This window comes from Homo sapiens, chromosome 7, assembly GCF_000001405.40.
Source record: "Homo sapiens chromosome 7, GRCh38.p14 Primary Assembly".
Classification (NCBI taxonomy): Eukaryota; Metazoa; Chordata; class Mammalia; order Primates; family Hominidae; genus Homo; species Homo sapiens.
Genome location: NC_000007.14, coordinates 103,904,605 through 103,932,285, shown reverse-complemented (window position 1 = coordinate 103,932,285; position 27,681 = coordinate 103,904,605). Strand labels below are relative to the sequence as shown.

General features: G+C 37.2%; 1 protein-coding gene across 2 annotated transcripts in view; it reads left to right on the top strand.

Annotated features, from left to right (window-relative positions):
- The window catches only part of RELN (reelin), a 517,870-nt gene that overhangs the window by 57,373 nt on the left and 432,816 nt on the right, over positions 1-27,681 (top strand). For both annotated transcript variants that reach the window (NM_173054.3, NM_005045.4), the window contains exon 2: positions 15,101-15,211. In NM_173054.3, the coding sequence (NP_774959.1) occupies positions 15,101-15,211 (111 nt within the window). The remainder of the gene's footprint in view (positions 1-15,100; positions 15,212-27,681) is intronic.

The following is a 27,681-nucleotide window of genomic DNA, read 5'->3' as shown; positions in this document are numbered from 1 at the left end:
TCCTGCATTAGTTTGCTAAGGATAATAGCCTCCAGCTCCATCCGTGTTCCTACAAAGGACCTGATCTTGTTCTTTTCTATGGCTGTGTAGTATTCCATGGTGTGTATGTACCATATTTTCTTTATCCACTCTACCATTGATGGGCATTTAGGTTAATTCCATGTCTTTGCTATTGTGAATAGTGCTTCAATGAACATATGTGTGCAGGTGTCTTTATGGTCGAATGATTTATATTCCTTTGGGTATATACCCAGTAGTGGGATTGCTGGGTTGAATGGTAGTTCTGTTTTTAGCTCTTTGAGGAGTTGCCACACTGCTTTCTACAATGGTTGAACTAATTTACACTCCCTCCAACAGTGTATTGTGTCCTTCTTATTGACTGCCCTTCCTGGCCTGTTTCACTTCTTTTGCATCTGTTCTGGTGTTCCCTCCACCTCCAGGTCTACTTCTGAGAGAATTGTGTACAAAGGAGGAGTGTAGTGCTGCCTGGACAGTGGAAGCATATTGGAGACTTTTGGGTAGGACTAAGGGAAGAGGCAGAAGTATGACATCCTGTGCGAATTGACATTAAACCAGCCAGATGGCAGATGTGGATGGTGATTTTCTAATAGCTATCACAAAATTGGCAGGAAAGCAAGATAGAAGAGTCATAAGGGACTTCAACTGTATTTACCTAATTTAAATTCATATTCTAATAGCAGGGCATATCTGCTTTAAAAACACTTGCTAATAACCTTTTAGGGACTATGCTCAGTGGTGTTGGGGATGCAATGAGGGATCAGACATTGCCATAGGTTCCAAGGCACTTACACCTTACCAAGGGATGTCAGATGTGTACACAACTATTTTGAGATAGAATGTGGTAAGCTTCACAGAGCTGAGAGGAAGAATGAAGACTCAAATGCTTTATAGAAGAGCTGACATTTAGACAAAGCATTGGTAAGTTGGGAGGATTTCAACAGGAAGAGATTGAGAGGAAAAGGATTCTAGGTGGAAAGGATGGTGAGAACAAAGGCCTGAAACTGGGATAACAACCCTTGTATTCACATATTGGACACGTAGAGGTGTGCCGGAGCGTGGAGTCAGAGGAAAGCCTAGAATGGCAGGTGAGAGGCAGGATGGGGAGGCTTGGATGGGATTCTGGGGGATTCTTGGTACCCGCCTAATAAAAGTTAAGGATGCACTGAAACTATATAAAGGATCTGATCCCCTGGCCAGAGGCTCCAAAAGGGAATTTTATAAGACTCAGGAAGGGCAGCAGTCTCTAAAAAGTCAATCCTAATTATATACTGTAACTTGTTATAATGAGGAGTAAAGGGGAGAAAGTCCTGATCGGCTTGGATTTCAAAAGTCATTTAAAAAGAACAGAAGGAGACACACACACACACACACACACACACACACACACACACACACATATGCTCACACCCAAGAAGCATAACTTGAATGCTTTTGAGAAGTCCAAGCCTGCAAGGAAATGAAGCATGAAGAAAAGCAATGAATAGAGATGTGTTATGGGGCTGGGCACGGTGGCTCATGCCTATAATCCCAGTACTTTGGGGAGGCCAAGACAGGAGGATCGCTTGAGCCCAGGAGTTAGAGACCAGCCTGGGCCACATATCTATACCTTGTCTATACTGAAAAATTTTAAAAATTAGCTGGGCATGGTGGTGTGCACCTGTAGTCCCAGTGACTCAGGAGGCTGAGGAGGGAAGATCACTTGGCCCAGGAGTTTGAGGCTGTGATGATCCTTGATTGTGCCACTGCCCTCCAGTCTGGGCAACAGAGTGAGACCCTGTCAAAAAAGAAAGAAATGCATTACGGGGGGCTGAACTGTCCACACCCCCCACCCGTCCCCCGCCACAACCCCCTGCCATTCATATATTGAAGTCCTAATCCCTGGTAACTCATAATATGATTATATTTGGAGACAAAATGTATTAAAAGGTAATTAAATTAAAATGAGGTCATTGGGATGGCCCTAATCCAATATCACTGATGTCATTATAAGAAGAAGAAATGTGGATACAGACATGTGCAGATAGATGAAAGGCCATGCAGGGACACAGTGAGAATGTGGACGTCTGCTAGCTGAGGAGGGAGGCTTCAGGAAAAGCAAACCTGTGAACACATTGCTCTCAGACATCCAGCCTCCAGAACTGTGGAAAAATAAATGTCTGTTGTTTATACCACCCCATCTGTGGTACTTTGTTATGGCAACCCTACCAAGCTAATAGACTTGGCATGAGGTGAGCAATATATGAGGCCTTTGCCTTAGGGCAGATAAGACAATGATCCTCATTATTTGCATGTTCCTTCTTTGTGATTTCATCTATTGACTAAAATGTATTTGTGACCTCAAAATCAACACTTGTGGCACTTTGACAGTCATTTGCAGACACGTGCAGAGCAGTGAAAACTTTTGAGTTGCCGGATGCGTTGAAGTCAAATGCTTGTGCCAGCTGAAGTCAAATGCTCTGCCTTCTTGTCTCAGCTCTCCTATTGTAAACAAGTGTTTTCACAGGCTAGAGTGCATCTTTCAAATTTTTGTTGGTGATTTCACTGTTTAAAATGGCCCCCAGGTGTAGTACCAAAGTGCTGAAGGTAGTGATGTGCCTTATAGAGAAAATATGGGTGTTAGATAGCTTGCTTCAGGCACTAGTTATATTGCTGTTGGCCATGAGTTCAATGTTATAATGAATCAACAATATATATTAAATAAGGTTGTCTTGAAACAGAAACACACATAAAACTATGTATGATCAGTTGATGAACATGTAACCAAAGCCTCACAGGAACCTAACTCTGTACGTCTCCTAGGAGAAATGGTTCAATATTTGCTAATTTAGTGTTTGCTGTGACTTTGGTGGTGGGAAAGTCTAGCTATTCGAAAGAAGGTTATTCACCTTCTTTCACCAAGGTTATTCCAAATGAAAAGTTTAGAACACAAGTGATTTTTAGATAAGAGTTGAAGCTCAAGGTGGTTAAAGAGGTAATGAGATGGCCTAGACACTGGCAGTGAGCTCGGTTCTTCAGCCATTATGCTGAAAAAATTACACATGATCACTGACCACTATTTCTCAGTTTCATGGATCAGATAAGTACTGCAATAAAGACTCCAACAGCAACCAGATGCCATTTAACTTGATGTTGGTTCATTGGTAAATTCAAGAAATTCTGATGACCTAAAGGCAGTCAGAAAAGAGCAGGTTGCACCCTGGCATCCAGCAAGGATTTCCCACAACAAGATATGCTGACTTAACCTCATCTCTTCACCTCCAGTTATTTTTTTGGCTTGAATTATTATAATATATGTAACATTGGCTAAATATTCTTTAAACATATACCTGCCAAATTCAGAAAATATTTAGGTACTTTTCTTTGTTATCAATTCAGCCAGAACATACAGTGACCTTGTTTGCCAAGAACATCACCAGAGGGCTGTGATTGCTCTTTAGTGCTCACCCAAAATCCCCTGCAATGTTGGCTCATCATCCTCATTCTGGATTGGTTTCAGTCCTCGTCAGTTAGAGAAAATTCTCTGGCATACATGAAGTCTCCTAAGAACAGGTGTTCCATTACATCCTCATCTTGTTAAACAACATTTACACTAGGAGGAAACTGCAGTATAATAAAAGGCAAAGTGGCTTCTTACTGTAGTGGAATTCTTAATGTAGCCTCAATTCAATTCAATTATAATTTTTCATCCATGGATAGCCTTCGTTGGAAATTCTGTTTCCTAAGAGCTGTGGATTTGCAGCTTTTTCTATCACTGTAGTTGGTCTATCCCAGGACCACTCACACAGAATCCACCTAGATGGACATTGTTAAATATGCTGATTCCTGGGCTTTATCCCAATAATACAGAAACAGAATCCATTTGGGAACTGGGAGTCTGAATTTTAAAAAGCTTCTCAGGTGATTGAAAGTTTTGGTTATAAAAGTAAAATGATCTTTGGGAGAATTTAGTTGGCTAATAGTTCTAACAAATATTCATTATTTGACTAAAAAGTAATAATTGTATTGATCAAATTGGCACTTACAGAATTTGAGTCCAGCATACAGAATTTGAGTCCATCTGTGTTGAATAGGTATTTTAATTGATACTGGAAATTGTTTAGAACTTATATCTTAAGCATTTCTGTGTACAGATAATTGTGAGCAAGATATATGTTTATAAAAATCTATATTTTAGTTTGCCTTTCATCCAGCTCTGGTTTTCTATGCCATGTCACCAACTTAAGAATTTAGATCAGTTTTCTAAAATAAAAAAAATCAACAAATCAAAACCAAATATGTGCTAAGGGTAGATTAAGATTTACTTAGAAATTGTATACCAGAAAATGAGGAATACTAAAGCCAGCAGAGCATACTTAGTCCTTTGCAAAGTCCCTTCATTAAACACTCTTTAGATAACTAATCACTTAACTTTTTCCTAAACTCCTAGGCCTCAAGACATCTCCTGGTAATTATTCACGCCTGGAGTTTTTCTTCATCCTTATCCTTGGAAAAATTGTCTTATAGCTATATTGAAAACACAAACTTATACTTAACCACAAAGATATTCTGTTATTTTAAGAAATTTTAAGACTCATTGTACTAAGTGCCATGCTGTAAAATAAAAAGTACAGCATTTTCCATTTTACCCATAGGAGAAATATTATTTATAATTACAATTTAATGTTACACAAATTAGTTGTGCATTTATTTCATCTTTTATACTTTCCCAAATATCAGATGCCATCTGTCAGTGTAAATGTCATTTATGTTATATCCTTATTTGGTAATTATTTTAATCTGAAAATCTTAGAATTCAGTTGTAGCATATTAGAGCAACTATCTGTGCTAGTACCTGAACGTCATTTATTTGACATTATTTTGTGAATTTAACATTTATTTTGTGAATTTCGATGTCAGCAATAACAATTTTAGATTTTATGAATTGGATTTTGAAATGTGGAATAGAGAGTCTTCTAAAAGGGACAGGAACAATTCAAATGTTATTTTTATAAACATACAGATGGTTCATCATTATGTTCTCAGTATCGAGTGGCACTTTATAAATATTTGCTTAATAAATGAATAAGCGGAACAATACACACATAGTCTCACACCCACAGGGTCTGATCATAAAATAAGTGAGTTTTAAAATTTGTCTTATATAAATTAGTAATAGAATTTTATAGTTAATCATTTGTATGCCATATATAATATACTCAGCATATATTTAAATGAATTTTTTATTTTAGGACAGTTGCTTATGATTAGTTTTAGTATATTGAAATGAACATATGGAAGTACTAAAAGAGAATACTGTAGAAAAACTTGTTTAAAAAGCTTAGGCTGGGCACGGTGGCTCACGCCTGTAATCCCAGCACTTTGGGAGGCCAAGGGGGTGGATCACGAGGTCAGGAGATTGAAACCGTCCTGGCTAACACAGTGAAAACCCATCTCTACTAAAAATACAAAAAAAATTAGCTGGATGTGGTGGCTCATGCCTGTAATCCGAGCTACTCGGGAGGCTGAGGCAGGAAAATGGCGTGAACCCGGGAGGCAGAGCTTGCAGTGAGCTGAGATCAGGCCACTGCCCTCTAGCCTGGGCGACAGAGGGAGACTCCGTCTCAAAAAAAAAAAAAAAAAAAAAAAAAAAAAAAAAAACTTATGATACTTTAGAGCTGCGTTCGGTTTAACTATGTGTATTAGGAATTCTATCAATTATTATTAATGTTGATCTATACATTTTACAAACAACAGATGTATGACATACGCACGAGTATTATCAAGGTCACTCTTGGCATGTTCTTGCACAAGCATAAAGTTGTTGCAAATATGAACATATTTAAGAATTTCGTAATGGCATATTTTCAATATGTTGAACTACAATCAAAAGCTGGCCAGGTGCAGTGGCTCACGCCTGTAATCGTAGCACTTTGGGAGGCTGAGGTGGGTGGATCACAAGGTCAAGAGATCGAGACCATCCTGGCCAACATGGTGAAACCCCATCTCTACTAAAAATACAAAAATTGGCCTGATGGCACGTACCCGTAGTCCCAGCTACTTGGGAGGCTGAGGCAGAACAATCGCTTGAACTGAGGAGGCAGAGGTTGCAGTGAGCCAAGATTGTGCCACTGCACTCCAGCCTGGAGACAGAGTGAGACTCCATCTCAAAAAAAAAAAAAAAAAAAAGGCGGGGTGGGGGTCATATATTTATGTTTTAAACTACTTGGGGCACTATTAGGAGTTACTTTGTTATTTGTTACGTGAGTTCAAATTTTCTTTAGTTAGCTTTGGTCAAAACAACGTAAAAAAAACATAATAGAAACAGAAAAGTTAGAAGCCTTTTTTATTGTATAAAAGCTTTACACACCTGATGATTTTGGGGGAGAAAAATCACACATATATTTGTTCTCTAGGCATCCGTGTATTTTATTGTAATGTATTCACCTGTGTATGTGCTTATAAGAATTACTAGGCTTATTCTTCTCAACCTAGAAAATTATCCATGCCTCAAAAGAAAAACATTGTTAAAACTTCTTGCAGCAATTCAGAGTAATAAATCTCCCAAAATGATTTCTTTTAAGGCTAATCTTTGCTTAAATTTTACAAAGATATGTTGAGTTTTAGACAAGATAGTCTTTCCTTTAAAAAAGCAAGAACAAAAGGATGAAAATTGCTGAAAACCTGAACACCACATTCCTATTCACATCACTTTAATAATTTATTGAGTGCAGGGCCAACAATATGAAATTTTCATGGATGAGTATTATCCAGCCTCATATAAAAGTAACGTGAAAAATAAGGTCAGAGATAAATCACAAATACCAGTTACTCTTGTCTGTGGTTCTCTGAATTATAATAAAGTGTCATTTATAAAGAAAAAAATTTTGGGTTATATAATAGAAACTAATTATCATTATTTGTAGAATTTTTTAAAAATTCAGAATTAAATTATAAAGGCCAAAAGTGGATGATAAAATGAAATTATTCCTGCTTTAAGTGCAGTTGGGGCTAAAAATGGGTAGAGAATTGTAAAATTATATTTTAATTCTTTATCATTACTATTACTATTTAGGAATTTTTATTTAGGCTAGATTGGACAGTCTTCGGAGATTTCAAAAATATTGTTCAGGACCTCATTCCAGGTAGTTTATTCTGACCTATGTCTCCAAGTCTAGGGAAGGGATCACCTGAATAAGATGTGAGATTTTTACCTCAAGGTTAATATTTTTAGAAATTCTGAGTGAGCGTGTGTGTGTGTGTGTGTGTGTGTGTGTGTGTGTGTGTGTGTGTGTGTATGTGTATGCGCATGCACACGTGTGTCAGAGAGAGAGTGCTTGTAGGGTGGGTTGGGGTTTGGAACATAAAGAAGAGGAAAGGCAATGTAGAGGGATTGAGTAGGAGAGATTTATATTCACCAAGTGCTCTCATCTAAACTTACTTCCAAAGGGCTTAATTTTAAAATAATAAATTCACAAACACATTTGACTGCACCTGTTTTATCTCCCAAGAACTTAAAGGAAGCAAAAAAAATTTCAGTGGATTTCCTTTTATTACTGGTGGTGCCAGAAAATAAGACTTAGAGGCTACGTGTGGTTCATCTGAATCTCTGAATCAGTAATAAGTATATCATAATAGCGTTCCACAGAGATGCTGTACCCCTCCTCTAGCCAGCAAAGAACATTTTCCAGACCCTGGAAGGTGTTTTCATCGGTCATTAAGTTTTGCATATGATGGGTGTCCTGCACCTGCTAGAATTCCTGGATCTTGCTCAGTTTTTCCTCTCCTTGCAGGTGGAGACAAAGCTGCAAAGCATTTGCACGGCATTCTCCGCTTGCTTTCAGAGGTGGGCTGATCCAGGGCTCTTTGACCTTATTATTTTGATCTTAAGCTTAGTCCTTTATCACACTGCGTTTAGTCCTCCCTGGAGGCCACTCCTTCTCCTTCCTTTCTCCCCCTCAAAGAACAGCACAGATCCATATAAAATGAAAAAGAAGAGTAATAATAATGATAATAAATGGCTGTAATAATAATTAGTACAGCAGACATCAAGGTTAAGTACATTCTACAGAGCAGCCTGCTGGGGATACTCCAGGAGACTATACCCATGTACCCAGGGCATGGAAGCACTGCCTTCCAGGAAAAGATCAAGCACCTGCCACCCTCTTGGGCATAGCACGAGATAGAGGCTGCTCTACTTACTGCAGTCCGTTCAGGTTGGGGAACATGACCTCCATGTCCTAGAGCTACCTTTCACATGCTAGTTAAGGCACATAACTTAGCCCTCCCCTCTTTGTTTCAGCTTTAATGGGTAAAAGGGGTATAATTATAGTAATTATCACATAGGATATTGAAAAGATTAATACCTATAAAAGATTTAGAACAATACCTGGCATGTAGTGCTCAAATATTGTTTAGCTATTATTATTATTAAGGAAGTGTGTATTAAATCTGAGGGTAAAGAGCTCTTAGAGATGATCTAGGTCAGCCATCTAAAGCCTTTTGGAAGTAGGAAAGGGTGGCTATGGTACATTTAGCAATGCTCCTCTGGAGATGGACAGGAGACTATACTAGGTGGGCAGCCAGCTACTTCCTCATCGTGCCCCTTATCATTTGTTGTTGGAATAGATAGGTAAGGTAGGAACGATCTCTCTCTACCCCTCACAAAAGGCTGATTGGAGTCCATTTGTTCCTGGAATAAACTGAATTTATTATCCTGATCTAATTATTTAAGATCTCTTTTCATTTCTATGGATTCATGTCCTCACTCAGTGAATCTTGACTTCCAGTCATTTCTTTTACATTTATTGGGATGATTTTTTTTTCTTTGCTGTTGTTGGTTTGGGAATGCTATTATTGAAATACCTGACTTAATTTTTGAAATCCACACAAAACCATGTCAAAATGGAATTAATATATGTAATGAGAAGTAGTGCGAGGGTCATGTTCTTCTAGAGGTTTGGAATGGAAATTATAATGTATTTTTTTATGGTCTCTATTTGGTGCCCAGAGCTAGTGGCACTTTAAGGAAGAATCAGTAGTTGAACATACAGTGTTGATGAAATTTTGCAGCAAATATGCTCAGTTTATTTCTTCTTCAGAGAAAGATATTTGTTCCTTAGGCTGTTTAATTTGTTCTGTATTCAAAAAGCAAACGAATTTCTCTTCATAAGGCAAAATGCAATGATGTTTTCTTAAATATTGACAATATTAGATTCTGCTGGCGTTTTTCATCTTCAGAATATACAAAATCAAGAAATGGAAACTTTGCAATTGGTGCATCATCACTAATGCTTATGTACCTAATTTCAATTTTTTTGCAATTTGCTATCCTCTGATGCTTGCCGTTCTGAAAAAAAAATGGGAACATCATTTCGAGTATTACTTAATTTCTTTTCTGCACATATTAAAGGTCTTTTGTATAAAGTAGTAATGGAATATGCTGGAAATGATCAAAATTTAATGGACCATAGAGCATTTGTAGACCAGAAGCTTTAGAATGAAATGCAAACATCATTAAATGTCTAAATTTATTTTCTTTTAGACTTTCATCTTACAGTGATTTTCTGCAAGAATGGTATTAGGGTCTCGTGGGGAATGTTTAATAGAAGCTATAATAGATAATAACTGACTCTGTAATTAGTCATTTCAAGACAGAGGTACTCTTTGAGCCACTGATAAGAATTGAATTGTGTCACTACATCATGTTTTCATTCCGCAGTCACACCCCAGCAATCCATATTTATAGTCTCCTGGTGCTAAGCTCATTGCCAATTTAACACAGATGTGGAAGAGATATTTGTAACCTGCTCAGCCTTTTGATCCCTTATATTTTATTTGAGGAAATGGCAGTGTAACTTAAGAGTGAGGATAATGGTGTAAAGTCTTAGTGACAAAAATTATCAGAAGATTAATTTGGTATATACATTTATATGTATATATATATTCACATACAAAATACAGATATATAAAAGAAAAGCTATTATGGTTAAATGTAAAATCCAACTAAAATTTTCTTAGACCTACCTGGTTTTTGAGTACTATAATTGAATACTGCATTATTTTTTATTTTTTTGTTTACTTTTCAGAGGAAACTTATTTTTCATGTATCTCTAAGAATAACAATGGCCCAGTTTTTTCTGTAGAAGTTAGATTTTACAATTTTGGTTACACTGGCTACATTACACTCTCAATTTTATCTTATTTTATTCTTATATGTTATGTTGTAATAAATGTTTCTATGTGGTTGAATTCAACAAAAGTTGAGCTTCTCCCTTGAGCCAAACTCTGGGGAAAGTAGTCTGTGAATGAGCTCTGGGGTCACTGAGGAGGGAGAGGTGAATTTCCCCAGGAGGTCAGAACAGACTGCATGAGAGAGATGACATTTGAACCTGCACCTGAATACCTTAACAAAAGGTAACCTGGCAAGGGGTCATTCTAGGTAAGAGCAGAGGCCAGGAGGCAGAGAAGTATAGAACGTGTTCTGGTTTAACTGTTTAATCCAGTTAACATCCTTTAATCAGATGTTTTCAGCTGAAATGGAGAAATTTGACTGGAGGGACTAGTTATGGCCACAACCCAAAGGTCTTTGAAACCACATTGAAGATTTAGGGTTTTAATCTATGGACATTAGGAAGCTAGAGATGTTGATTGAACAAGGGAATTATGTGATCTAAGATGCATTTGCTTTCTAATTATAGATAATAATATACATGCTTTATTTCCCCCTTAAAATGGACTGGCAAGTTCAGAATTCTGTATGAAATCGATAATATTGATATTTTCCTCTGTAATAAAGTAGCCAGTTCTCTTGACATTTTAATGCAAAACTATGAAAGATATAAAAATTGACTCCAAGAGGGAAGAAGTCCCTTGGGAAAGAATTTTACAAATTTGACCATAAAAATTTGTAAAGCCATGAATAAAGACTGAATATATGGGAGAATGGATTGTTTAAATAGGAGTTTACCTATTTAAGCTCACTAGATTATTATTTAATGATTTTATGTAAACCTTTGGTGTCTGATATGGATAACTTGTGGGTGTTATCCCATAGTGGTGATCTATTTTAATTTGTATAAAATAGCTAGAATTGACAGGATGTCAGATGGAGTTTATAAACATTTTTGTCAAGGGAGAACTATTTCTAAATATCTCTGCCCGTCTAGTTAATAAAACCCAAATTACAGTGCTTACACAAGTCTTAGCTCATAGAAGTTGCTTAGTTTTCTGTCTCAATCAATCATACACCTTGCTTCATTCTTTAAGTCTGAATGCATTACGTACCTTCTAGTACATTTTACTATTTGGCTTAGTTTACTCACTGGAAGTGCATTTACCACAGATTTCTTCTTCTCCTCACCAACTTTTTAATATAAATGTTTTCTAAAATGAAAGTTAAAAGACTAGTACAACAGGTGGGTATGGTGGCTCATGCCTGTAATCCCAGCATTTTGGGAGGCTGAGGCAGGTGGATCACTTGAGGCCAGGAGTTCAAGACCAGCCTGGTCAACATGGTGAAACCCTGTCTCTACTAAAAATACATTCATTAGCCACACATGGTGGCACACCCCTATAGTCACAGATACCCAGGAGGCTGAGGCACGAGAATGACTTGAACCCAGGAGGTGGAGGCTGCAGTGAGCTGAGATTGTGCCACTGCACTCCAGCCTGGGTAAGAGAGCGAGACTCTCTCAAAAAAAAAAAAAACAAAAAAAAAAACCAAAGACTGGTACAACAAACATGTGTATACCCACTACTTAGACTTGGCAATTGTTCATAGTACATAATATGCTAATTTGAAAGTGAATTGACATGGAAAATATTATTTGTTACCCATTTTAACATTAATTAGATCATTTGACTGATAATCTTGGAAAGGGCATGAAGGATTTGCTTATTAACAGGTCTGAGTTAGATATCAGTTAGACACATATAGCCCAATAGTTACTTTTCTTAAAAGTAGTTCGAATATAAAAAATTTGTCCAATTATCCCCATCCTAATATACCCAAATTTATGTCTTTTACCTACAACTTCTACTTATGCAAGTCTACTTTATAAATAAATATTTTTAAAGGAAACATTTTAAAGTGACAATCACTATGGAACGTTTTAAACTATGCAGCTTGGAACCATAACATTCTGAATCAGAGTATCAGAAAACTGCAAAAATGTCTGTAGTGGGAATTAGTGTATTTCACATTCTTCAAATGAGTATATCTAGATCTACACACATGGATAATCCTATGATTCATGGAGAGCTTGTTTATTTTAAATAGTAGACAGCAGTTTTATCTCTGTCTTTAAACAGCTTCATCAATGGGCCAAATTGGTGACCTGAAAGTTATAAGTTTCCTTCTAGTTCATATACATATTTAAATAATTTTACATTCACAAGTGTGAACCTCAGTTTTTAAAATCATGTCCCATATTATTTCTGTGTATGGTAAATTTTCCCTTTAACTTGTCATAAATCACTTTTCCGCTTTCAAGAACCATTCCAATTGCCTGGATGGCACCAGGTTGTGGATGTAAGCGATGAGTTAAGACTAGAGAGGCTAAAATAGTGCTTGAAAAGTGAGTCAAGTGAAATTAGAGGAAAGAAAGTCGTCAGGGCACAGAGGAAAGATTAGAGCTGGTGCGCGTGTGGAGTCACATAGCTTGGTAGAAAGGAATGAGGCAGACACTAAAGGGTTCTCCCTTTTAGGTTGGGGGAGAGGGCCCCATGTGAAAACCAAAAACTGCAGGGGCCGATGTCACAGGAAACTTGGGCAGATTAACCGAGGGCTGCAAGTAGAGATAAGTGGAAGCCTTTCTGTGAAAGAGAAAGAAAGGGGATGGAGAGAAGGGTGTTCCTGACATAGATTCAAAGTCGAAGTTCCTTGGTGTGAAGTTTTCAGTATGCTCCTTTATACTGCTCATGGGTTCACCACCAGTGTTCCAGTCAGTGAAAACATGTGGGCTGCAGACATTCTGAAATGGTCTGCATGTTAAGAGAATTCACACTGTGTCCAGTGGTTTTTACACACAGAGATTGGACCCATTATCTTCTTGAAGAAGTGGAAGCCTGGTAACCAGAAAGATATGCCTTAAATCCCATGAGAGTCTGGGCAACATTTCCTCCTCTTTCTAAAAAAAAAAAAAAAAAAAAAAAGACCGATTATCAGTTCACATATGGATTATGCATCACATCTGCTTAAACGAGGAAAAGGAATGCTTATTCCACTGTCAAAAGAGTAGCGTTTTTCCAAAGGCAAATATCATTTTTTCCTAAAAAATTCTGAACTCTAGCAAGCAGATTATAATCAATTCATTTCAAACAAGTATTTTTTTCTTTAGATGATTCGTGTAAGCATACAGCATCTGATAAAATTTATGCATACTTACGCCTTTTAAAAAATGTCTTTGGCTGGTCTTTTAGTCAGTTTCTCTCTGCATTGATCTGTCTTGCACTCTGGAAAGCATTTTACATATTTAAATAGCCAACTTTTCTCTGTCTTCTTTTTTTCCATGTGGCTTTTCCAAGTGGGGCTCATCTGATGTATAAAGTCTAGGATTCATAACATACTTTTCCTCTGGAAACAAGCTAAAGATAAAACAACCTTGCACTACTTTTATATGAATAAGTTATTCATTAATAATTCACTAAATATTGAGCACCTAAGAGTACCATAAATTATTCTAGACACTCGAGATATATCAGTGAACGAAATACTTGAGATGCCTGCCTTGATGGAGTTTGGCCATGGTTACTTTGCCACTTTGGGATCTGAGGGGAGCAAAGAAGAAACAGGAAATAACCCATGTAGACAGCATCAAAACATTTTAGATGATATCAGATGGTCCTGGGCCAGGTTCTTAATGGCTCTGTTCTACACATTCTTCTTTTGTATGCTGGAAATAATAATAGTATCCCTCTTATAGGTATGTTTTGACAATTGAATGAGATAATATATGTAAACTACTTACCTCAGTGCCCAACTAAGTGGTTGATGTGCCAGCACTAAAAAATATTAGCTATTATTTCTTGTTAAAGGATGAGAAGGTGGTTTGTTCCAATCCCCCATGCCATTATGGGAGTAGCATGATGTCAGGCTATTCTATTGATATGTGTCTTGTTTTATGCTTTGTAATATGGATGTTTCAGACCATTTAGCTCTGTTCACCGGATTTTCTGGAGTTTAATTTAAACATTCTCATTAAAGTTAATGTGACTCTGGTCATTCTCCTTATTGCCACCAAGGATGATGACAGCCTTGTACTGTGCACTACCTAAATAATATTATTACCTTCCCTTGGTTGCTTCCTACAAATGGCATCATCTCAATCTTATAAAACCTATGCAGGAGAAAATGTTACGTCAAGCAGGAAATTATGGTCAGGTTTTAGGGTGGTGAGCAAGATAAAATTTGAAGAAGCCAAGCCTGAGTAGCATACGTATATATTTAATTTTACCCTTTTCTTCCCAGCAACGTCCTGATTTTATGGTTATAAAACCACTCCTCTTCCAGACTTTGTTCTCAAACTTAAAGCATGCAGTGATCTTCCTTTCTTCTTCACGAGAGGAAAAAGTCTGGCTGTCTTCATGCAAATTAGTCGGCTTTTGTTGGAAAACTTCAGGGAACTCATCTTTGAAATATGGACTCACAATAAGAAATGTGGTTCATCTTACTGTTCTTCTTTCAGCTGATGTATAGTTGTTTCCCACAGTATGAAAGACTTAAAAAAAAAAAAAAGCATTTTATCATAATGCCAAAACTCCAGCAATGCCTTTGACTGCCTTCAGGGGTGGTAGTGGAGGTGGGGAAACCATCTATTCAATATTACATTATTTTCAGATGATTGTTCACATAAGAAATGTGTAAATGAATGCAGAAAGGTAGGACTGATGTTCTAAATTTAGGACCAGCAATTGTAGACACTGGAGTTCCGAGCTTCTTTATTCTCCTCTGTAATTTCTCATACAAAAAATACCAACTAGGTATAGTATAAAAATAATTTGTTAATGAGTAAAGATTGTTTTGACAATGTCTAACACTTCAGAAATATATTGTGTTATTCTGACTGTATTGAGAGTTTTTTTTTTCTTTCTTACATTTCAGTGACAATTTCAACAAGCACCTTTTTTGACGGCTTGCTGGTGACAGGACTATACACATCTACAAGTGTTCAGGCATCACAGAGCATTGGAGGTTCCAGTGCTTTCGGATTTGGTAAGCTATTCTCACAAACCAGAAATTTGGGGGTATTTTATACAGTCATAGGTCTTATGTTTTAAAGTATCTGTTTTAACAGTGTTAGACCTTTATTACTTCCAAGAAAATAATCTGAAGTGTTTTGTTTTTGTGTGTGTTTGCTTGATGTTGGGTGAATTGAAATAAGTCATGTAAATGTGCAGCTAACCTTGATCTTGGCATGATGAACTTTCTTTCATTCTCTCCCTCCACTGCCGCAATTATACTTGGTCCTCTGGGGTTCATGTAAATTTCCATATTCTGTTACTTAAGTGGCTGGAATTTGCTCTGATGTCCACGCAATCATTCAGTAATCTGTTCTCATAAACAGTTCTTAAAATATTATGGTTAATGAAAAGTGTCGTGTTAAATCTGGCAACTGAACATTGTATAAAGCAGAAGATAGCAATATTTGATAAAATTATTGAGTTCTATGAGTATTCTTAGAAGAATCCTATTTAATACTTAAAATATTTGAATGTCCTTAAATCAGAGACCTGTCCTTAAATCAGAGGCCTTAAAACAGAAGACCACGTGATGTCCATTAATCTCAGAGGAGTCTCAACTTAGGAATCTCTAGTTTACCCATAATGCTGTTAAACATGCCAGGCTGGGATTAAGTAGATCCTTCACAGCATCAAAAATGCAAACTTAATATATCAGTTTATGTAGGATATGAAATTACTGATCTTACTCCAAAATTGAAAGATTACACAGGACTTCATCTATAGATGTGAGAAGGATAGAATTGCATTATCAGACACAAAGTTATGTGTTCAACATTTTATTTTTTTCTATGATGTTTGTCAAATAAATAAATTTTCTACCTCCTTTTGATATATGAAGTGTCAAGTCCCAGCAGTAGCCCTGCCCAGATGAGTCATTGGCTGATGTCAGAGCAACAGTGTTGATGCTGCATTGTCACTGCTTGCCCAAGATGAGGTCCACAGCCCACAGCTTAAGGAAACCTCGAAGTCATTCAGTCATCATTTTAAATGATTTCACATTTGAGAATTTGCTGTATTTTAAAAAGATCCCAGGTTAGATTTCACAGTCTGTTGGTAACTACTTCTAAGGTCCAAACCTCAGGGGAAAAATGTCCTCTTAGATCTACAAATTCCACTTATTTAGTCCCATCCTTTTTCTGCTCTGCAGAGAGGAAGGGTCAGGTCATAGTCATATGTATATAAGTACATAAGTATATTACATACCACCTGTTTTGTTACAGCAGGATTCATAAGTAGAGTTGTCAGATTCAGCAAGTAAAACTACCAGACACTTTGTTAAATTTGAATTTTAGGTAAACAAAATTTTTTTAGTATAAGTATGCAATATTTGGAATAAGACCTTCTAGGATCCAGCCTAGTCCAATTAAAACCTCTGGGGGTGAGGGCCTGAGCATTGGTGATTTTTTAAAGCTGTCTAGGTGGTTCTAATGTTTATCCAGGATTGAGAACCACTGTACTGGATCAGTGCCCAATCCAGCCATCAGCATCACCTGGAAAGCAGTAACTGCAGAATTGTAGACTTCAAACACAGTGAATCAGAAATTCTAGTGGTGGGATCCTGTGATCATTTTTTGAAATCAACACTCCAGGTGATGTTGATCCATGTTAAAGTGTGAGGACTTCTATTCTATTGGAAAGACAGATGTTGATTAAATGGTCATGTAAATATGTCATAGCAAACCTTGCTAGGGGCTGGCAAAGAAGTGTACTGAGTGCTGGGAAAGGGTATGACAGAGAAACTAGATCCAGTCTTGAGTAAAGTGTGGTGTAATTTGGAAAGGTGTTCCTGAGGAAATGGTATTTGAGTAGAGCTATGAAGGAGTAGAGATTATTAACTAAAGGTCTGTGGATGGTGGGGCACAGCATACCCAAAGGAAAGAACAGCAGGTGCAAAGGCCACAGGTGGGAAGAGGCTGGCTATGTTCTAGGAACTGAAAGAAAACCTTGGAGTGGCTGGACTTGGAATCAAGAGGGAAGGGGATACGGCTAGATAGGAGACTAGAGCCAGACCATTCAGGATATTGTAAGTTTGGGGCCTTTATCCTAAGTGAAAGGAAAGGCATTGAGTGTTTTAGGCTGAGGAGTGATTCCACAAACCTTTCATTTTAAAGAGATCACTCTGAGGTCAGTATGGAGAAAACACTGGAGAGCCCAGTAGGGGGTTCAGAAAGATTGTTCTGTGGTTAAAAATTCTGATATGGCAAGGCGTGTAAGGTGTCCAAAGTACAGGCGGGCATCGGCAACAAGAAGGAGCCAGATGTGGGGGGATAAGAGTTCAGGCTGTGAGTCACATTGACCTGCTTGTAGATGCAGTATTCATCTCTTAGTTATGTGCCTCAGCCAAGTCGTTTAACCTCTCTAAGCTTAATTTTCTCATATATGACATGATGATGATAAGGTTACCTTCTTCATAAGATGCTGGGTAGCCCTGATAATTAAAGGAGGAAGTGATTTATGTAAAGCCATTAGCACATAAAAAAACACTCGATAAAATTAGCTTTTCCAGATTATAATCTTGGAAACTGAAGCAGACCATTTCCTTAGTCCAGGGCTTATATACACTTCCTATAGGGGGAGCAAAAAAAGAAAAAACCAGTTCTGAAATGTAATTAATCTGGGATATATAGGTTGAGATGACTTGAGGAGACTTGGCTGAATTAAGGAACTATCATTTGTCATTGCGGGGAACCATCATTTGATGGTTTGTCAGTTTGTCAGAACTGACAAACTGTCATTTGTCAGTTCCTTTACATAAGGAAAATCATTAAAGATCATTCCTAAGTGTGTTGTAAGCACATTTTGAGAGAACATATAAAATGCATATATCATATTGCCTCAGATTTTAGCTAGTAAGACAAACAAACAAAGAATAAAATTGTTACAAATTATTTAAGAGACCTGGTCTTCAAGACATTTCCTATGGTAACTTTGAAAGCTGTAAAAAGTCGATTTGTACTTGAATTAGAATATATTTTGATTAGCCTGAATTGCACCTAGCCTTCCTCTCACAGGCAACCCTGTATCATTGGTTTAATGGTCCAAAGACACTTTTGAGCTTGGGCAGAGCCCATCAGCGACTTCCATAGCTCAGGTCTTACACTAGATCCTTTGCATTTTTATAGGACATATGTTTTATATGGATGTATAGGTAGGTGAGATATTTTATTAAGTTCTGATAATATCCAAATAATATTATGTGTATTTATGTGACAGTAGTAAATAACTTTAAAAGTAAAATTTGATAATATGCCTGGATATTATATAACAAAGTTAATTTTCATGAATAATGTTTAGAATGGAAAGCAGGAGGTAAAATGTCTTTTTAAATAAAATGGCCACTTTTGAAAAAAAGCACATTAATTTTTGGGGTATTTGATCTAAGTTTAACATATTCTTTACAAGTTAAAAACAAAATTAAACATTTAATTTGATTAGGGTAGGAAAGTAGAGGAAAATTATAGAAGGCATAATTTCTACATATTGCTGCTTTCTGGTAGTTAGTAGTTATGGTAGGGTCAGGCTAAAGTAATGTGGCACTTTTTGACCTAGAACAAAAGAGTTATTGAATACATAATCTATCATTAGTCTCTGACTTTTTTGATGGAATGTTAAGCAAATGTGGTTTATTTGGCATTTCCCCAACATATCACAGGATTAATGTGCAATATGTTTAACTAGCTGTGACAAATAAGGCAGAGTAAAGCATTTAGTAAGTCTAAATAGGTACTTCTGAAAGTTTTTTTCCTACTTGTAGTAGTTATTTTAATTGTACTAATTACACTAAAGTTACAGCTACTCTTCTTTGAATGTAAAATGTGTGTATGACTAGCCAAAATGTCCATAATTATACTTAAGATATTGCTGTAGAAATGTAGTTCCACTAACATTACTACAGCTTTTTATGCAAAGCCAGAATTCTTTAGCATGCATGCCTCACTGACCAAAAATAGACAAATGCCTAATAGCCAGAAATACGTTAAGACAATAGCTATGCAAAAGATGACTGTAAGCCAGCAATGCCTGATTTGAAATACCTCATTTTACTTGTCAATATAAGAAAACATGCTGCCCTTGGGAAGTGTGATGTTTAATTATGGATATCTCTTTGTGCATCCCAGAAAAAAAAATGATTCTCTCTTGTCTTTGACTTTGAATTCCAGCTCAATCATGTAAATCTTCAAGGCTCATTGTGGTCGCTCAATGAAGGATTATTTGAATATCCTTTCATACAAAATTGTTCCTTTTCCAGGGCTGAAATGCATTTACTCAAGATTTAGAATTCTGGTTATAAAAGATAGAGATTTTACCCAATTTTTTATATTCTGGCTCTGAAACCTGAGAATCAGGTTTGCAGGTCTGATGAATGCAGCCAAATTTCAAATTGTTAGACCTTCCATAAATTAAGGTCTTTGTACTTCCTAGATAATCTTGCTCAGCTAATACATCAGCCATTATAGCACTTTTTTACTTAAACTCTTGTAATTTTCTATGTGTTTCATTTCTTTGTTCTGTAATAATTAGGAATTCTAAATACAATCATTTAAGTTAAAAAATGCTTAAAAGGCTGGGCACAGTGGGTCACGCCTGTAATCCCAGCACTTTGGGAGGCCAAGTGGGGCAGATCACAAGGTCAGGAGTTCAAGACCAGCCTGGCCAACATAGTCAAACCCCATCTCTACTAAAAATACAAAAAATTAGCCAGGCATGGTGGCAGGTACCTGTAATCCCACGTACTTGCAGGAGAATCACTTGACCCGGGAGGTGGAGGTTTGCAGTGAGCCGAGATCACACCATTGCACTCCAGCCTGGGCAACAGTGCAAGACTCTGTCTCAAAAAAAAAAAAGCTTAAAGTGACAAAATTTGATTAAATCCAAGTTGGGGGGGAATGTAGTGAACAGGTGTAGGAATTTTTTCTTTGTAATTTTTTCTCTTAAACATTCAGCTATTCATGTCATATTTTTAATAGAGATTAAGCAATTAACATAAAACTAGTATTTTCAACACTATCTTTAAAATATAGTATTGGAAATTTTTTTTTTAATTATACTTTAAGTTTTAGGGTACATGTGCACATTGTGCAGGTTAGTTACATATGTATACATGTGCCATGCTGGTGCGCTGCACCCACTAACTCGTCATCTAGCATTAGGTATATCTCCCAATGCTATCTCTCCCCCCTCCCCCCACCCCACCACAGTCCCCAGAGTGTGATATTCCCCTTCCTGTGTCCATGTGATCTCATTGTTCAATTCCCACCTATGAGTGAGAATATGCGGTGTTTGGTTTTTTGTTCTTGCGATAGTTTACTGAGAATGATGATTTCCAATTTCATCCATGTCCCTACAAAGGACATGAACTCATCATTTTTTATGGCTGCATAGTATTCCATGGTGTATATGTGCCACATTTTCTTAATCCAGTCTATCACTGTTGGACTTTTGGGTTGGTTCCAAGTCTTTGCTATTGTGAATAATGCCGCAATAAACATACGTGTGCATGTGTCTTTATAGCAGCATGATTTATAGTCATTTGGGTATATACCCAGTAATGGGATGGCTGGGTCAAATGGTATTTCTAGTTCTAGATCCCTGAGGAATCGCCACACTGACTTCCACAATGGTTGAACTAGTTTACAGTCCCACCAACAGTGTAAAAGTGTTCCTATTTCTCCACATCCTCTCCAGCACCTGTTGTTTCCTGACTTTTTAATGATTGCCATTCTCACTGGTGTGAGATGGTATCTCATAGTGGTTTTGATTTGCATTTCTCTGATGGCTAGTGATGATGAGCATTTTTTCATGTGTTTTTTGGCTGCATAAATGTCTTCTTTTGAGAAGTGTCTGTTCATGCTCTTCGCCCACTTTTTGATGGGGTTGTTTGTTTTTTTCTTGTAAATTTGTTTGAGTTCATTGTAGATTCTGGATACTAGCCCTTTGTCAGATGAGTAGGTTGTGAAAATTTTCTCCCATGTTGTAGGTTGCCTGTTCACTCTGATGGTAGTTTCTTTTGCTGTGCAGAAGCTCTTTAGTTTAATTAGATCCCATTTGTCAATTTTGGCTTTTGTTGCCATTGCTTTTGGTGTTTTGGACATGAAGTCCTTGCCCATGCCTATGTCCTGAATAGTAATGCCTAGGTTTTCTTCTAGGGTTTTTATGGTTTTAGGTCTAACGTTTAAATCTTTAATCCATCTTGAATTGATTTTTGTATAAGGTGTAAGGAAGGGATCCAGTTTCAGCTTTCTACATATGGCTAGCCAGTTTTCCCAGCACCATTTATTAAATAGGGAATCCTTTCCCCATTGCTTGTTTTTGTCAGGTTTGTCAAAGATCAGATAGTTGTAGGTATGTGGCGTTATTTCTGAGGGCTCTGTTCTGTTCCATTGATCTATATCTCTGTTTTGGTACCAGTACCATGCTGTTTTGGTTACTGTAGCCTTGTAGTATAGTTTGAAGTCAGGTAGTGTGATGCCTCCAGCTTTGTTCTTTTGGCTTAGGATTGACTTGGCGATGCGGGCTCTTTTTTGGTTCCATATGAACCTTAAAGTAGTTTTTTCCAATTCTGTGAAGAAAGTCATGATCTCACCACTCCTATTCAACATAGTGTTGGAAGTTCTGGCCAGGGCAATTAGGCAGGAGAAGGAAATAAAGGGTATTCAATTAGGAAAAGAGGAAATCAAATTGTCCCTGTTTGCAGGCGACATGATTGTATATCTAGAAAACCCCATTGTCTCAGCCCAAAATCTCCTTAAGCTGATAAGCAACTTCAGCAAAGTCTCAGGATACAAAATCAATGTACAAAAATCACAAGCATTCTTATACACCAACAACAGACAAACAGAGAGCCAAATCATGAGTGAACTCCCATTCACAATTGCTTCAAAGAGAATAAAATACCTAGGAATCCAACTTACAAGGGATGTGAAGGACCTCTTCAAGGAGAACTACAAACCACTGCTCAAGGAAATAAAAGAGGATACAAACAAATGGAAGAACATTCCATGCTCATGGGTAGGAAGAATCAATATCGTGAAAATGGCCATACTGCCCAAGGTAATTTACAGATTCAATGCCATCCCCATCAAGCTACCAATGACTTTCTGCACAGAACTGGAAATTTTTAACTTAATTATCAGATTATTTTCAATGTGATTTGACAGTTTAGGTAGATAGGAGTATAATTACAAAATGAATTATTTAAATATATATATTAAATATATATATTTTATATATAATATTATATATTAATATATATTTAATATATATATTTATATATATTAAATATATATATTTAATATATATATTTATATATATTAAAAAATATATTTAATATATATTTATATATATTAAATATATATATTTATTAAATATATTTAATATATATTTATATATATTAAATATATATATTTATTAAATATATTTAATATATATTGTTTGTTTTTGAGATGAAGTCTTGCTTTGTTACCCAGGCTGGAGTGCAGTGGCGCAATCTGAGCTCACTACAACATCCACCTCCCAGGTTCAAGCAATTCTCCTGCCTCAGCCTCCCGAGTGAATTATTTAAATATTTTAAGAAAAACTTCAAACTTTAGTAAATCTTATATTGGTCACTAGTTAATAAAAATTGTACTTCATTAGTAATTTTAGATTTTATGGTAATGTTTCATTGCCAGGATGAAGTTTTTACTATTTTGTTTTATTTTTCACTGAACATAGAAATGCAGGGCCTGTATGCTAACTTTTCATTATCCTTCACATTAAGACTAAGTAGAACCTATTACAAACTTGCTAATTATCGCCAAGGCCCATACTCCCCAGGGCATTAGCAGCAGTTGAATCTTAGGTGTCTTGTCTGTGTGACTGAGATGTATATTATGAATGCATGAACATATTTAGGGCTTAATATTCATGAAGAGGGACAGCCATTCACAATTTCATTAAATAGAGTATTGTATAAGTAGTGGTACTTATTTACTAGCCTAAATTAAGCTAATGCTTTACTTAGAATAACCTGGCTAAATTTATTTTGTCTGCCTCTTTACAAAGAAACACGGAAGTAAATGCAATTTAAGCATACTTGAGGAATTCAAAGGCATGATGTTTTATTGGGTATGGTAAATGATCTGTAATTAACAAGAAGACTCCAGATTAATTAAACAAATTACTCCAGCCAATGTACAAAGAGCAGAGCTGACAAGAGATGAAATTGCCATTAATTTCTCCTTTTAACAGGATATTAACTTACATTTGGTCTTTATTCATTCCATTTGAGTATTCCATTCTTACCTTCATTAAGAACTAGTTTTATCTAGTTTATATTTGACATATGATAAATAATTCAGGGATATTTCCCAACTTCCAAATAGCTAACTTGAAAAGAATCGCTTACTAAAATAGTGAGCATGACAAATATACAGCTATTGAATTAATTAACCAATAAATTGTTAAAGCAGATATTCAAGGGCATGAGATTTGAGCCAAGGTGGAGGAGTTAGTAGAGAAAGTCAGTTCAACGTGGTGGCTCAGTACGTGAACTCAGGAGTTAGGCAGCTCAGGTTCCATGCCCAGCCCTGTTTCTTGCTAACTTGAGCAACATACTTACCTCCATGTCTGCATTTGTAAACCAAGAATAACCATGGTGCCCAGTTCATAAAGTTGTAGGTTGGATTAAATGAGATTATCAGTTCAAATACCTAGTATATATTATATGCTCAAAATAGGTATTTAAAGACTCGGAATGAAGTAAGAATCCTTTCTTTGAGAAGGGCAATAGAATGAGAAGATTGTTCCAGTGACAGAGTTTTGAGAAGTTCACTTTAATTTTGGGGAGCTGCACTCAAGTTTCTTACCCACAGAATTCAGAGCTGGAATGGACCTCCCCTAGAGCCTGGATCAGCGCCACCCCCAGTGTATAGGTAAGGAAGCAATGCTTGGGAAGGCCAGTGATGACTATTGCAGGAGATAGTGTAAGTGTGAGGATAAAACCAGGTGTCCACCTCATGTTCTCACTCATAAGTGGGAGTTGAACAATGAGAACACATGGACACAGGGAGAGGAACGTCACACACTGGGGCCTGTTGCTGGGGTAAGGGGGCAAGGAGAGGGAGAACATTAATACAAATACCTAATGCATGTGGAGCGTAAAACCTAAATGACGGGTTGATGCGTGCAGCAAACCACCATGGCACACATATACCTATGTAACACATCTGCATGTTCTGTACATGTATCCCAGAACTTAAAATTAAAAAAAAATAAGTTTTTTTTTAAAAAAGAAAAAAAAACAGGCTTTCTGACATCATATCCAGTTCTCAGATATTCTTTTAAAGCTATAATTTACATACTATAAAATTTACCATTTTAAAGGCTGTAGCCTTTAAAATGATTTGCAGTATATTCACAAGATTGTACAACTAACACCACTAATTCCAGAAAGCTAATGTCACCTCCAAAAGAAGTCCTGTATCCATTAGCAGTCACTCTCTATTCTCTTCTCCCCTCAGCCCCTAGGCCACCACTAATCTGCTTTCTGTCTCTACGGATTTGCTTATTCTGGACATTTCATTTAAGTGGAACCATATAACATGCAGCCTTTTGTGCCTGGCTTTTTTTTTTTTTTTTTTTTTTTTTTTTCCAGAGCCTTGATCTTGTTGCCCAGGCTGGAGTGCAGTGGCACATCATCTCAACTTATTGCAACCTCCACCTCCTGGGTTCAAGCAGTTCTCCTGCCTCAGCCTCCCGAGAAGCTGGGACTACAGGTGTGCACCACCATGCCCAGCTAATTTTTGTGTTTTTAGTAGAGATGGGGTTTCACCACGTTGTCCAGGATGGTCTCAGTCTCCTGACCTCATGATCCAACCGCCTCGGCCTCCCAAGGTGTTGGGATTACATGCATGAGCCACCGCGCCTGGCTGTGCCTGGCTTTTTTTACTTAATATGTTTTCAAGGTTTATCCTGGCATAACATATATCACTACTTCTTTTTATAGATGAATAATATTCCATTGTATGGATATGTCTTTTGTTGTTTAGTGGATGGATATTTGGCAGTTACCAGATTCTTAAAAGGAATTAGGGCTGTGTAAATAGGAAAAAATAGTTTAAGGAGGACACAAAGAAATAAGACCACCACATTCCTTAGATATTCATCCGTGGCTCAAAACCTCTGAAGATTAAAATTGCTTAGCCTGTTCTGTGGCTCAGATGTGAAAATAGTTCTGCTTAGACATCAAGACATATTTCTCCTCTGCCCTCCTTTTCTGCCACTCAGGAGAGATAGGCCACTGTATCATGTTTTTACCCTAACCTTTTGGCCTTAGTTTAAACCATAAGGTACAAAAGCCAAGCTATGTCAAATATACTAGCATGGGAGTTAGGAATTGAGACATGTCAATTCCAGTCCAACTCTTTATGAGCTGAATCCAAGGAACAAGTAAACATTCAGGAGCTATGGGCAGCCATGCTCTATAACGGCTCAGAGGAATCATGAGCAGAGAGAGGAGGAGAGAGAGAGAGTCAGAATGCTGCCTGAGGTACCGGAGCTTTCCAGGCTCCTATTTTAGGCTTACTTTTCATCAGGCTTAGATATTTGGGGATTCTAAGAAATCATAAACATAGCTAACATTATCAAGCACTTGCTATCTGCCCGGTGTGTTACAGGTATTAACTCTTTTGATCCTAAAAAAAATTCTACTATAATTCTCCTTATTTTATGGATAAAGAACCCAAGGCAAAAAGAGCATAAGTAACTTGCGGGAGGTTATGCTTGCTTAGGGAGTTGCAGAGCTGTAATTCAGACTGAGCCCTGCAACCTGTCATTAAACTCCCTTTGCAGCCCAAGCCAGCTTGACTTGATTTTTATCATCACCCAAAGAACCTTGACTGAGAAAAGGCCCTCTCTGCTCTAACCCTGCTGTCCTTTCCCACACCTCTTCTCAGCCTCTTTTCCAGACACCTACTCCCACTACATATGCACATATACCCCCTTGCACTAATTAAAATAACCCACACACAGCTTCAAAATTCCAGCTCTTTTAAACGTCTACTGCCCTTGTTTGTGTCCCTTGGAATTCTTTCTGGCTCGGTCTCTGGGGCAAATCCTCTGCCATCTTTTAGGGCCCCCTTCCATACTTACCTCCTCTATTAAAACTTTAGAACCCTTCCCCTCTGCTCCTCCCTTCCCGCTACCTCCGTGGAATTCTCCACTCCCTCCTCTGTGCTTCTCCGTCTTCTCGGACCTCCACCAGTCACCTCTAACAAGCTACCAAATTTGCTTGTTTAAAAACCTTTAAGTCTCTTCGAAGACAAAGAGATAACCTAGTCATCTTCACTCCTGTGAAGTCATCTTCACTCCTGTGAAGTCATCTTCACTCCTGTGGCACATTACCAGTGCTCAATAAATATTTACTGAATGAATAGACCAATAACAATCTTTGAGGATTCGTAAGGTATTTGAGCTGCCCTTAGTAAATGCATGTGTCTGCACAAGTGTTTGGGTATAGACTGGGCCAGGTGGGGTGGCGGGTGGGGAGGAAAGTATTACTGTCTTTAAGTTTGAGGATATTTCTAAATCTATATTTGTCCATATATGTGTACACATCTATACATGCATTTAAAACTATACAAATATATGTTAATCTTATGAAAAGAGGTCCTGGGGAAATTGATCATCCTGGCTACCGCTTTGTCCATTTCTCTCCTGGAGGTGGCAGACACTAATATTTGCAGGTAGGACAGTGATTAAGTATCTTCTATAGAATTAAGAAAATAGAGGGCAGGAAGCAGTGGCTCACGCCTGTAATCCCAGCACTTTGGGAGGGTGAGGTGGGTGGAACACTCGTCAGGAGTTTGAGACTAGCCTGGCCAATACAGTGAAACCCTGTCTCTACTAAAAATATAAAAATTAGCCAGGTGTGGTGGCACATGTCTGTAGTCCCAATAACTCAGGAGGCTGAGACAGGAGAATCACTTGAACCCCGGAGGCAGATGTTGCAGTGAGCAGAGATTGCACCACTGCACTTCAGCCTGGGCGACAAAGCGAGATTATCTCAAAAAAAAAAAAAAAAAAAAAAAAAGGAAAGAACTTCAAGGGATTGGCAGTCCAGCCTCGTATCTTACAGCATGTTGGTGTCTTAATGTTACATTATTAGGTTCTTATTTCATCTCTTTCCAGTTTTTATTTCATTTTCTTTCCAGAAATGATAAGTCTACAGTTTCTTGGGAATATATTTTAATATTATGTCAATTGAAATGATTAAGGAAGATTCTCTTGTATGAAGATGCAATCCCTTGCTTTAACTTCAGCACCTTTCTCATATAATTTCTTATAAAATTGAAAATGATAAGCATTTGTTAAAAAGTAATTAAGTCACTTGTTTTCTTTCCTTTAGGCAAACAAAAACACACATTCCACATGAGACTCATCCATTTCCTAACTCCTTAATAA